This window comes from Homo sapiens, chromosome 6 (assembly GCF_000001405.40).
Source record: "Homo sapiens chromosome 6, GRCh38.p14 Primary Assembly".
Taxonomy (NCBI): Eukaryota; Metazoa; Chordata; class Mammalia; order Primates; family Hominidae; genus Homo; species Homo sapiens.
In genome coordinates, this window is record NC_000006.12 from 43902625 (window position 1) to 43914969 (window position 12345).

The 12345-nt window shown below is 49.8% G+C and overlaps 2 long non-coding RNA genes across 2 annotated transcripts in view, besides 3 other annotated features; both read left to right on the forward strand.

Annotated features, from left to right (window-relative positions):
• Positions 1-1891, forward strand: part of LOC105375070 (uncharacterized) — a 107357-nt gene extending 105466 nt beyond the window's left edge. Inside the window, exon 3 of the long non-coding RNA XR_007059588.1 lies at positions 1674-1891. This is a non-coding gene — a long non-coding RNA (uncharacterized LOC105375070). The remainder of the gene's footprint in view (positions 1-1673) is intronic.
• Positions 1-12345, forward strand: part of LINC01512 (long intergenic non-protein coding RNA 1512) — a 47180-nt gene that overhangs the window by 11597 nt on the left and 23238 nt on the right. The window lies entirely within an intron of this gene.
• Positions 8333-8897: an enhancer, noted in NCBI's record as "H3K27ac-H3K4me1 hESC enhancer chr6:43878694-43879258 (GRCh37/hg19 assembly coordinates)". NCBI's record gives its function as "activates a minimal SCP1, AML or CMV promoter by ChIP-STARR-seq in primed H9 embryonic stem cells {active_cell/tissue: H9 hESC(primed)}" and the evidence as "EXISTENCE:reporter gene assay evidence [ECO:0000049][PMID:30033119]".
• Positions 8898-9460: an enhancer, noted in NCBI's record as "H3K27ac-H3K4me1 hESC enhancer chr6:43879259-43879821 (GRCh37/hg19 assembly coordinates)". NCBI's record gives its function as "activates a minimal SCP1, AML or CMV promoter by ChIP-STARR-seq in naive H9 embryonic stem cells {active_cell/tissue: H9 hESC(naive)}" and the evidence as "EXISTENCE:reporter gene assay evidence [ECO:0000049][PMID:30033119]".
• Positions 10534-11323: an enhancer, noted in NCBI's record as "H3K27ac-H3K4me1 hESC enhancer chr6:43880895-43881684 (GRCh37/hg19 assembly coordinates)". NCBI's record gives its function as "activates a minimal SCP1, AML or CMV promoter by ChIP-STARR-seq in primed H9 embryonic stem cells {active_cell/tissue: H9 hESC(primed)}" and the evidence as "EXISTENCE:reporter gene assay evidence [ECO:0000049][PMID:30033119]".

The following is a 12345-nucleotide window of genomic DNA, read 5'->3' on the forward strand; positions in this document are numbered from 1 at the left end:
AGCATCTGGAGGGAGACTTTCTGGGTGTGGACAGATACCAGAGTGGGATGAGTGTTCTGCAGGACCTGGAGCCCCTTGCCAGCCCCTCACTCCATGTGAGTCTTGCAGGTCAGACCCAGATTGGGTGCCCTAGGATCAGTGAAGTGTGACCTATGGTACTAGCCAGGCTATTCTTTCCTGGGGTGGGGAAGCAGCCTGGTCTGATCCTATCAACAGAGAAGGAGTAGGAAAGGGGCTGTTCGAGTCTGGATAAGTCCCCCTCCCAAAGTGGCAGCTTTGGTTCTAAGACAGTTCACTAAAAGGTACACTCCATGAGGGCAGGAATTCTGGTCCACTTTGTACACTGCTTCATTTCCAGAGCCTAAGATCATGCCTGGCATATGGTAGTTGTTCAATAAAAAAATTACTGAATTAATTAGAGTCCTTTTCAACCCCCATTCAGAACTCACTTCCTACCAAAAAATCTCCTTGATAAAGCTTTTCTACTTCAGTGACTACTCAAAAGCAGTACATATAAAATTCATTTGCAAATATAATCAATTGAATCCCAACAGCTGTCTATTTTGAAGGGAAAAAAATGACAAATTTAGATTATTATTGTTGTGTAGCAGGCCCTATGCTAGTTTCTTAACAGACATTATATGACTTAATTCTTGAAGGAAGGCCCTATTTCACAAACAAGGAAATGAAGGTGTCCGGTGTGGTGGCTCACACCTGTAATCCCAGCACTTTGGGAGGCCGAGGCAGGGGGATCGTTTGGGCCCAGAAGTTTGAGACCAGTGTGGGCAACATAGTGAGACCTTGTCTCTACAAAAAATAAAATTAAAATAATTAGCTGGGCACAGTGCCGCATGCCTGTAGTCCCAGCTACTTGGGAGGCTGAGACGGGAGAATCACTTGAGCCCAGAAGGTCCAGGCTGCAGTGAGCTCTCTGATCATGCCACTGCATTCCAGCCTGGATGACAGAGCAAGACCCTGTCTCAAAAGGGAAAGAAAAAAAGCAACTAAGGCTCTAAGGAGGGAAAATTACATAGTGCCCCTGAAGTTGTACCTCTAGGAAATTGCAGAGCTGGGATTTGAACTCACTTCTTACTCAACCCCTCTCCCAACTCTTTTCCTGAATTTCATGGAATTATTTTTTTTCCAACTAGGTTTTGTGATTCAGAAGGTAATTCTACAAAGAGTTCTTTAGCTCCTGTGTGCCCAAGACCAGACAGCATGCACGGGAAGCCCAAGTCCCTATCAGTCAGGAGCCACCAGGCTCCTGCGAACAAACAGGGAGCCTGGGCCTGATTGAAGGCAGAGCACTGGGCCTGATTGAAGCACTCATGGCAGTGGCCCCGGTCAGCCTGGGGCTGCGGTTTCCTGGCAACACTGGCCCTGCCAGCCCTTGACTTAGTGACATCTGCCATCCAGACCAACAGTAGATTATCCTACAAACAGGTACACCTCAGGCTTGTCAGTTCTACCCGGAAAGTTACCTCTCAGCATTCTGAGTGTATGGCTATGCACAGTCTCCCAGAGCTGGGAAGTGCCTGGAAGGCATCTCATCTGGCCCGCCACATCTCTTGTGCAGAATCCCTGACAGAGTGTCCTCTGGTGTCACTTACAGACTTTGGGGATGGGGGCTCGCTGCCCAGAAGGACATCTCCTTCTTTCTTGTTCTTCTACAGATTCTTCCTCCACCTCAGCTGAAAGGATTCATCTTGCAGCACGGCCCACCTTGGAACCCTTTGTGTTTGCTGAAACTTTCTTTGTGATTATTCTTATGTCACTGCATAGCATGTAAATGTATCACACCCCCCCCCCACCCATTATTATTATCTCCTAGTATGCACCAGGCACTGGCCATAAATTATTTCTAATCATCATTAAAACTCTACCACGGTTATCCTCCCTCTATGGATAGGAAAACTAAGGCTTGGAGGTTGAAGAGGTCATGGATCTTGTCCAAGGTCACTAAACTCATAAATGTCACAGTCAAAATTTGAATCTAGATAGAGTTGTCAGCTCCAAAGAAGTTTGCTCAGTCAGTTCTTCCCCAAATTAGCTTTTTATCCAAATTTGCTGAGAAGCTTTTTAAAAATACATCTTCTTTACAACAAAGCCAGAGAAAGAATAAGGCAGCTCTCTGCACAACAATATGGTGCTCGTATATGCCTAGAACATCTCCAGGAAGAAGGTGAGTCACTGGCCACCGCTGGCCTCAGGGGATGGTCTACGGGAGGGGACACAGGAGTGGGAGGGAGACTTGCTTTTTACTATATTCTCCAGTACTTATTGGATTCCTTCCTTTCCTTCCTTCCTTCCTTCCTTCCTTCCTTCCTTCCTTCCTTCCTCCCTCCCTCTCTTTCTTTCTTTCCGTCTCTTTCTCTTTCTTTCTTTCTTTTTCTTTCTTCCTTTTTCTTTCTTCTTTCTTTCTTTCTCTTCTTTCTCTTCTTTCTTTCTTTTCTTTCTTTCTCTTCTTTCTTTCTTTCTTTTCTTTCTTTCTTTCTTTCTTTCTTTCTTTCTTTCTTTCTTTCTTTCTTTCTTTCTTTCTTTTTCCTTCCTTCCTTTTTTCCTCCCCTCCTTCCCTTCCTCCTTCCTTCTTTCTCTCTCTTCCTTCCTTCTCTCTCTCTTTCTTTTCACCTTTTCAAAATTATTAGAAAATAATTTAAAAATCAAAAAAGAATATAGCTCCAGGACTCCACTGCCAGATCTCCTTATAAATCCAAATCACCAGAGTTGGGTTTTGGGACCCAATAAACATCCTAGGTGGGCACTGGTGCCCTCTGTCCCCTGCTGCTAGTGGCCAGGACCCAGCCTCATCTCACCTGTCATTTCCCCTCTGCCCCTAGCCCCTGGCTGGTCCAGAGCTCTGTGCTGCCAGCTCTGGGAGGGACTGACGGCTGCCTTAGGTGGCTATGGGGCCATCTCTTCAATGTTTCCGCAGGGACTTTTTCCAGCCAGATTTCTTGAGCCCCATACCTGCCAATGAGCCAGCACTACCCAAGGACTCAGCCTCTGTGTCCTGTGGACCTGCAACAGCTTAGAGGCCATCCCCATGCTCAGGCCTTGCCACCACATGCCTGGATCTGCCACTCCTCAGCCCCTACCCTCAAGCCCCAGAGCCCTCAGCCCCCAAGGTCAGCCAGGTCTGTGTGATTATTTTTCTCTCATATCAATGGTGACCTCCTAACCACATTGTTCTGCTCCTTGGCTTTTTTTACATCATAATATGTCTCCACAGCATTTCTCTGTGTTGAGATGTTAGTGTCTATCAGGGAGTCAGTAGAGTGGTGGTGAGCATGAGAAATTCTGGAGCGACTCCCTGGGTTCAAAGCCCAGCTTGCTACACTTAACTGCTTGACCTAGGGCAAGTTTTTAATCTCTGTGATGTGAGGATGGAAGGAGTTGAGACATGTGAAGCTCTTTGAGTAATGCCTGGCACTTAGGATGTGCACGGTGAATATTCATGATGATCATGACTGTCATTAGAATCTCAGTGGGGAGACTAATAAGGGGTCATAATCAATGTTCTAGGCTCTGGAGTTAGACAACTTGGCTTCCAATCCTTATTCTGCATCTTTCTTTCTTTTTTTTTTTCCTTTGAGACTGAGTCTCACTTTGTTGCCCAGGCTGGAGTGCAGTGGTGCTATCTCAGCTTACTGCAACCTCCACCTCCTGGGTTCAAGCAATTCTCCTGCACAGCCTCCTGAGTAGCTGGGATTGCAGGTGCATGCCACCCTGCCTGGCTAATTTTTGTATTTTTAGTAGAGATGGGGATTCACCATATTGGCCAGGCTGGTCTCGATCTCCTTGACCTCAGGTGATCTGCCCGCCTCGGCCTCCCAAAGTGCTGGGATTACAGGCGAGAACCACTGCGCCCGGCCCCTACTCTGCATCTTTCTAGCTCTAATCTTTCTAACCTCTCAAAGCCCCAGTTTCCTCATCTATAAGATGGGGGTGACTCTTACCTCACAGGATGGTTGAGGATGGTGCCTGGTGCAAAACAGATGCTCAATAAATCTTCATAGAATGGATCACAGCATGGGGATGGGGCAGAAGGAAGCCTGGCAGACAGAGTGTGAGCCACATCTTTTTGCCTCAGGCTGCTGGTGAGGATCTACTGGTGCATTTGGCAGTGTGTGGGAGGCGGGGGGCAGGCCCTCCTTCTTCACACTGCCTGAGGGATCATGGCCTGAGGAAGACCCTAGACTGCCTAGGTATTCATTATGAAGGAGCGGCCAGCCTGCCAGCCAGGCCAGGCCTGTGCCCATCGATACTGTCAACATGCCCCTCCCTGCCGAGAAGTGGGACCATAGGAAGGAAGCCAATTGCAATCAGAAGGCACGTCATTCATATCCAGGAGAGAACATCACTTTAAGGGCTAGAAAGTCTCCTTGGCCAGTTGGTGGGCAAGGGTTCTCACTGCAGGTGGATTTGAGAATGTCTAGACCCAGCCTGAATGATACAGGACAGGTGGAAGAACAGCATGCATGGTGTGTCTGCAGGCCTCGGCTCCAGCAGGGCTTGCCAGCTGGAAGAGCTACCACCCCTGCTTCTCGGTGCCTCCTCCCACAGCCTCCCTCAGAGCCCCCTTCTGACACCCCACCCCGTCTTTAGGGGAGTCATGCTTTGCTCTCCCTGATGGAAGCTGGAGGAGCGAGAGCAATCCCTCTGGCTCTCCCCAGCTCATTACAAATGGGCTAGTTTTCCATGGACCATGGTTAGGTGCCACACTGTCAGGCACAATTAACTCAGCTGTGTCTTAGTTTAGTTGGTATTTATCTGTCCAAGTTCCCCTTAATAGACTGAAAATCCCGTAAGGGCTGAGAGACAAGCTCTTACTCCTCTTATTATCATTACTAGAGATTAGGTCTGTGAGGCTCAAGTGCAACACTGCTATTCTTAGTATCTGCAAAGATATTAACAGAGGGACATAACAGTAGCTAGATTAATTGGGCACATGTGTTGGGCAAGGCACTATACTAAGCATGTTAGTGTTATTAACTCATTTAATTCTCACAACTCTATGGGAGCCATATGCTATTACGAACATTTGTAGAGAGGAAACTGAGGCAGAGGGCAGCTGGCTAACTCATGCAGAGTCACACAACTAGGAGGTGACAGGATTCAAACTCCGGCTTTCTGGATCTAGAACCCACTTTCCACACCTTGAGCCCTCAGTGAGCATTTGTAGAGTAGCTGAGTGACTGAAAGAAGTGCAGACAGGCAGGTACACAGAGGGGATGGCCGAGGGCCTGACTGGGCAGTGGGGACTAGGCCTGGGTTTCTGGACTGATTTGGGGGCTGAAGTCAGCAGCCCAGATTCTGAAGGTCTCTAGGCTGTGGCCCTGCCTTGCTCTGCCAACCATCTGGCTCTGCACAGGCTGTCCAAACAGGACTCCGTTGCTAGGGCCCTGGCAGGGATGCCTGACCTGATAATCCCTGCCTCCCATGGGAACCCAGCCTCTCCCCGGCCATGTCCATCAAGGTCATCTAGTGTGGCCTGGCTACTAGCTGCTTCCGAGGTGCTGCCCATCTACCCTTTCCTTCCTTATACCCCCTCTCTGAGCTGCTTCTTTGGACCTTCTTTAATAATTAGTGGTTAATTGTCAGTGGTCTAGGGTCAGACTGCCTGAGTCCCAGCCCTGGCTCTGCTGTGTGGCCTTGGGAGTGTTACTTAACCTCTCTGAGCCTCATTTCCCCATCTTTAATATGGAAATCAGAACAGACTATTGTAAAGATTGGTATGAGGATTAAATGAGCTAAAACATTTAAAAGGCTCTAACAGTACATCTCAAACTGCATATATGTTTTTGTTAATATTATTATGTCTTACTCATTCATTTAAATTGATGACAGTGTAGCCAGTGCAGAGTGAGAGGAGAGGTGGTCAGGGCAGTTAAAGTACTAGCATCCCTAGTCCATCTTCTTTGAAAAACCAGAGCTGAGTGACAGGGACACTCCCTTGCTCTAGCTTACAGTCTTTCCTGGGTTGGGGCGGGGTGGGAGAAGTACCACTCCCCAGGCACCCTCATTCCGGGAGGCCCTACGCTGGTGTGTCTCACCTTCTGCTGAGACAGATACCCAACATCGCCCTGTTCAATACTTAAAGCTCAGCTACACTTTGACCACAAGGCACAGTTTTCTACTTGATGTATTTAAATGGATTTAGGGCCGGGCGCGGTGGCTCAAACCTGTAATCCCAGCACTTTGGAAGGCCGAGGCGAGCGGATCACCTGAGGTCAGGAGTTTGAGACGAGCCTGGCCAACATGGTGAAACCTCGTTTCTACTAAAAATACAAAAATTAGCCAGGCATGGTTGTGCGCTCCTGTAATCCCAGCTACTCAGGAGGCTGAGGCAAGAAAATCCCTTGAACCTGGGAGGCAGAGGTTGCAGTGAGCCGACATCGAGCACTGCACTCCAGCCTGGGTGACAGAGTGAAACTCCATCTCAAAAGAGATAACTGGATTTAGTTTTGTTTTTTTTCAGCCTTTATCATAGTTGTTCATGCACATAAAGAGTCACATAGATCTATGAAGTTCCTTACAAACAAAGCATCCTCACTGAGCAGAGGGACCACATTCTCTTTCACTGACAGATTCTTCTGGAATGGCTCTATCCCATGCTGCCCCTGCCCACAACTGTTATGCATCCCAGCCCCCACCCATAACACCTATGTCATACTGGTTAGATGGGGATGGAACACGACCTCGTAAAAGCATTGACATCCAGGGTTGAGCCATTTAGTAATCTATGATTGTTGTGTTTTTCCTTTGAACAACTTGTTTTCCTCCCTGAAGTTGCTGATGGTCTTTTTTATTATTCATTTAATTGTCATGCACTTAGAGCGAATTCAATGGCTTCTCAGTTTCTGATAATAACCACTAATGCCTTTTGAGCACTTCCTGGGTGCCAGGCACTATTCTAAGTCCTTTCATTGTAGTAACACATTTTAGTCCTTATAATACCCTCTGAGGTGTACACTATTATGATCTCACTTTATAGATGAATAAACTGAGGCACAGAGAGGTTAAGTGACTTGCTCGCAATCCCAGAGCAAGTATTTGGCAGAGCTGAGATTTGAACCCAGGCTCTTCCCACTGTAGGGATTGTGCCTGCCTGGCCTCACGTGGCCTCTGGGAGCACATCTTCATATCAGTCTCCTCTGGGCCCTTTCTCACCCTCTCACTATTTTCCGGGTTCAGTCTTTTCTCTGCGCCTAGGCTGTAAGCTAGCCCTGTGTCCTTCTCCTCTGCAGCCCTGGAAGCAGGACTGGATCCAGCAGGCCCTCTTGTGCTTGCCAGGACGTTCCTGCCCTGGACTGTCTACTTGTCCTCATGCTCTCCACCCCGGGGCCTTGTGGGTAGGAGGCAGGACAGGGAACAGTACTGGTTCAGGTACAGCTGGGCCTGCAGAGGCTCAGGAAAGCCAAATCAGTGCCGTAAGGCCTCATGACTGGGGAACTGGGGTTTGAACTCCCTCCTTCACCTGCAAGTCCAGGGATGTTCCTAATGCATTGAACTTCTTCCTACAGGCACAGGCATATACACACCATGCACATTACATACACAAATATACAAACATATATACACATTATTTACATATGCTAATTATGTGCATGCATTTTCACATGGACACATTATATACACATACATATAGACACAATTGCATTTCATATACACATAACGCAGGTACACATACATACTCACATAATATACACACATACCAGTTATACACAGATGTATTAAACCCACAAACATATATTAACACAGAAGCATATTATACAAACACCTTATTACAAACACAAACATGTGTATACTATATATTCACACAGAGACATACACATATTGTACAGATGAAAACACACACAAATATGTAAATATATACCTATATACACATAAATATACACATCCTATTTGCATAACATACACAAACACTGCTGCACAAAGCACATGCACATATTTTTCACATATGAAAGCATGCAAACACATTTGCACAAAACATACAAATGAATGCACAAATATACAAAAACCTACAGTGCAAACATATGCAAGCATATGTGCACATCCACAGATGCAAAAACTTGCACAAACACATCCACATTATGTGCACGAAGAAACATGCCCACATCTGCATGTGTGTGCACACAATCACGTATGCCTGCCTGGCCTGGTTTATATGGGGAGTGATGGAAGAAGGCCATTGGCCTCTCCAGGTTCTGTATGTGTCTGGTGACTTGGAGTGAGTGTGTTTCTTTACTGTTTCCTTGGAGTTGCATCATAAAGTGCCTTCCTTGAACAGGGCCGGTACAGGACCAGGTCAGCCTGTCCTCATTACATCAGCAGGGTGAGCCAAGGGAGGTTGCCTAAAAATTCAAGTAAGTAGTCCCCAGCCCATGGAGGCTTGAGAGACCCCCAAACCCCTCCCTTTCTCTGGAGTCCCACCTAGGGTTAACCACTGGCTACACTCCCAGGGAGGCCCCAAAAGCTGCCAGATTATGCCCTTTAAGAGATGAGAAAATGGCTTGACCAAAAAAGTTAATGTTTGTAAACACCAGTTTAAGGAGAGAAGGGATTTCAAAGCCTCCGCAGCCTGCTGCTCCACACCTCTGAGCATCTGGGAATCTCAGCCCGGGGCTGTGCACACAGTAGGAGCTACATCGGCAGCACTCTAGGGAATGGGGTCTGACAAGTGGTGGGGGGTACAGGGAGCCAGCCCCAGAATTCAGAGGTAATGCAGACCCTCTTCACGTTTGAGGACCCTGCCTGCATCACTTCCAGCCCAGAGGTTCTTAGCTTCGTCATCTGCTGGGGGTGAGGGACCACCAGTTTAGGGAGCCCCCTGCAGAGGCCCCCTGGATTGTCCCTTCTTTTCCCTCCTTGGCCTTCCTCCCAGCTTGGTCTCCCCACCACCCCCAACACTCCCCAGACACATTCCTCTCCTTCAGACTTTCGTTTCAAGGGCTTGGTGATTTCTTTGCAGGATTTGATTTGCCGCTCAGGCATTTCCTTGAGTGGCCCCTCGGTGTTTGCCCTCATCCAGATGGCATCCAGATGCAAACATCCCCCCTCCCCCAGCTCCGGCTCCTCAGCTAGGGGAATTGAATCTTGACCCCCACCTCACACCCACCTCCCTGCATCATCAGCTTTGTTTCTGGGATCTGAGGTCAGGGCATGGACTAACACCTCTGCCTGTGGCTCTCTCCAAAGCCCGACTTCTGGCCATCCTATGATCTGCCTCCCTCCTCCGCCTTTGTTCAATTCAGCAGGTAATTGCTTCACAGCCAAAGCAAATGTCAGGATGATAATGAGGGAGATATGATGCAGTTCTGGCCTAGGCAGGGAGGGGGAAGAGCAGGGTGTGTGCTTGTGTTGAGGGAGCAGGTGCTGAGGGCCCTGATCTCCAGCTGAGGTCCTAAGAGATGACCAAATCCAGGTGAGGGAACTGAGGAGAGCAGATGATAACCATGCTAATAGTTACAGAACAAGGTCCATGTGCAATAACAACGTAAAGACCAGTTCATTTAGTCCTGTGAGCTGGGCCTCCTTATTCCCATTTTACAGATGAGGAAACTGAGGCCCAGAATGGAGAGAAAAAAACGACCAGAGCAAGCACCTGTATAATAAATTCTCTGTTCCAGGCACGACATAAAGATCAGCTAACTTAACAAGGCGTTCTTTGGAACACCTTGAGAGCTGGACACTCTTGTCCCCATTTTATAGATAAGTTAACTGAGGTTCAGAGAGGCTTAGTAACTCATGCAAGACTCTGTGGCTTCTTAAATGGCAGAACTTGGCTCCAAACCAAAGGCTTCCAAGGCCCATGGCGCTTCTTGTGTGCCCCGATTTGCTCAGCATCAGGGCCAGACCTTCAGGAGCTGTCCCCAGAGCCCTATCCTGACATGGTGACCATCGCCCTGATGGGAAATGTCTCAAGGAACCTGGGGAACAGTCCTGGGTGAGAATCCCTGTGCCTGGGGGAACCTCACTGTTTCTCAGAGGTCAGGCTCCAGGCCTCTTAACTCTCTGTCCAGTGCTGGACTCTTGACCCAGGGCAGGACTCGCTCTTGCGAGGCCCTTGCTGACCTCTGCTCAAACCCTCTGCTTCCCCTTCAAAGTTAATATTTACATACTCTCTGCCATGCCTCTGTGATGCTGCCATAGATATCAAAGTGCTTCCTGACCCCAGAGACACCCCAGGGCCCCCAAAACCCCTCCTAGGCTCCATGCTCCATGCAGGGCCCATCGACCCTCAGGCGGCCAGAATGATGGGCAGCATGCTGTGGCCAGATGGACTGTACTCTCTTCACCGCGCACCGTCAAGCTTCCTTGACAGAAAATGGGGCATTTGGCCCAGGCTCAAAGCTGCAGTGTAGGCATTTCCTAGAACCACTGGGCATTGGACCCCAGAAGTGTGTGATGAGTCGGGGCCAAGGGTCAGGCTGTCCCAGCTCTGTGCCTCAGGCAGCTGTGGGGGTGGCCTCCAGCAGGCCCTGCCTGGTAGTACCTGGTGGGCCTGAGGTGTGTGCGTAGAGCCATCCAGGCCCACGGGAGGAACATCCACCTGTCTGGACTCACAGCCCAGAGAACAACAGAGCTGGGCATGTAGGGCAAGTTAGGGGCAGGGCTGGAACTTCTCACCAGCCCGCCTCTCCCCAGTACCTCCTCCAGGTGTCCTCCCAGCGTGCTAAGAGGTGGATGCCAGCATTGGCCAGACCCCCTCCTCTCCCCGCTCCCTTCCCTCTGTCTTCCGTCCTTCTGGCTCTAAGTGAGCTCAGCTTTGCAGTAGAAGGGAAACCTGAGGAACTAAGGATTTCTGAGCTGGGCTCCTCCCCCAGAGGGTCAGAGGGGCTGTTTTCAGCTGGGAGCTGGGGTGACTTGGAACCCCAGAGAGCTTCAGGGAAGACCCCAGGCTGAGCAGGAGAGAGGAGCATCCCTGCAGCTGGCAGTCTGGAAGGGCTGGCTGGCCTAGGTCCTTGGGGCTGGGGTCCTCAGGTGGGTGCCTGTTTGCTTTCTGAAGAATTCCTGCAGGAAGCATGTGGGTAAGTGTCTGAGAATTTCAGTGATGGTCAGAGGGAGAGGACACTGCTACCAGCCACATGTTGGTGGCCAGGTGGCCTGGGAAGGGACACCGTGGCTGGCACACCAGGCCCTGCAGGTTAATGTTTGACCTGGAGCCACGTGTTTTTCCACTGGGTATTTTTATCCTCTGTACCTGGCAGTGGGCAGCTGGAGGGAGGGAGGTACCCAGCTAGTGTCTCACTGGGCAAGACAAGGCTGCAGAGAGGCCAGAGGGGCCAGCTGAGGGATGCAGAACAGGGGATTGAAAGAACAGGAGGGAGTCCCTGGAGCAGGCCGACTCCCCACACCTCAGCTACACTCCCAGCCCTACTCTGATGCCACCCCATCCCTGGCTCTCCTCTCTCTGTTAGGACTAGCAGTGGTGAGGAGATGAAGAAGATAGGGAGGAAAACCAAGAGATCTTCTCAGGGGTCCACAGCTTCTCAGGAAAGTTAAAAATGTCCCCTCCTCTCCCCATATTATCTCATTGGTAATGAATCACTCTCAGATCCTGTGCATCACGAGTTAGAGATTTCCTCCTTCTGCAGACACTGCAGTCTTACTCTGATTGTGGGAGTAAGTCACAGCTAACTGAGGTACCCTCTACCCCTACCTGCACCCCCAGGGCCAATCTGATGAGGGAACACAGCCCTGCTCCCAGAAAATCCCCAGTCTAAGAGGGTAGGGGCTGTGTCTCAACTCACAACAAGAGCTTTGCCCCTTTGCATCCAAGAGGCCTGGAATTGAATTGAAACACCCACTGGGTCCATAAGCTCCGGAATCCCAAGCCCTCCCCATCTCTCTGTTTTCCTCCTCGGCAAGTAGGGAGTCTTGCCTGAGCTGACTTTGTGAGGCTCTTTACAGCCCAGTGGGCAGAGTCCTTCTCACTCATCATGGGGGGACAGGGGAGGGAGGTCCTCGAAGGCCACTTAACAGGGCCAGCTGATGCCATGGTGCCAGTCGAGCAAAGCCAGCTTCCTTCCTGCACCCCCACAAGGTCCAGATGGTCTTTGAAGTTACACTTGAGTCCAGTAGTAAGTGGGTCTCTGAGCAAACCTGCCTACGAGCTGACACCACCAGATCACCAGTGGCTTCCCAGCCCCAACACTCACCAGAGCTGGATCTGAAGCAGGCTCGGCGGCTGCCCACAGCCCATGGTATTTCTTAGGGCTCCCTGAGAGTCCTGCAGCGGGAGGAGCAAGGCTGTCTAGGGGAAATCAGTTCCCTCTGAGCAAGGGGCTTCCTGGGATTGGCAAACGAGAGGCCCCAGGACAAAGGGGGATGGGCATCTGCCAG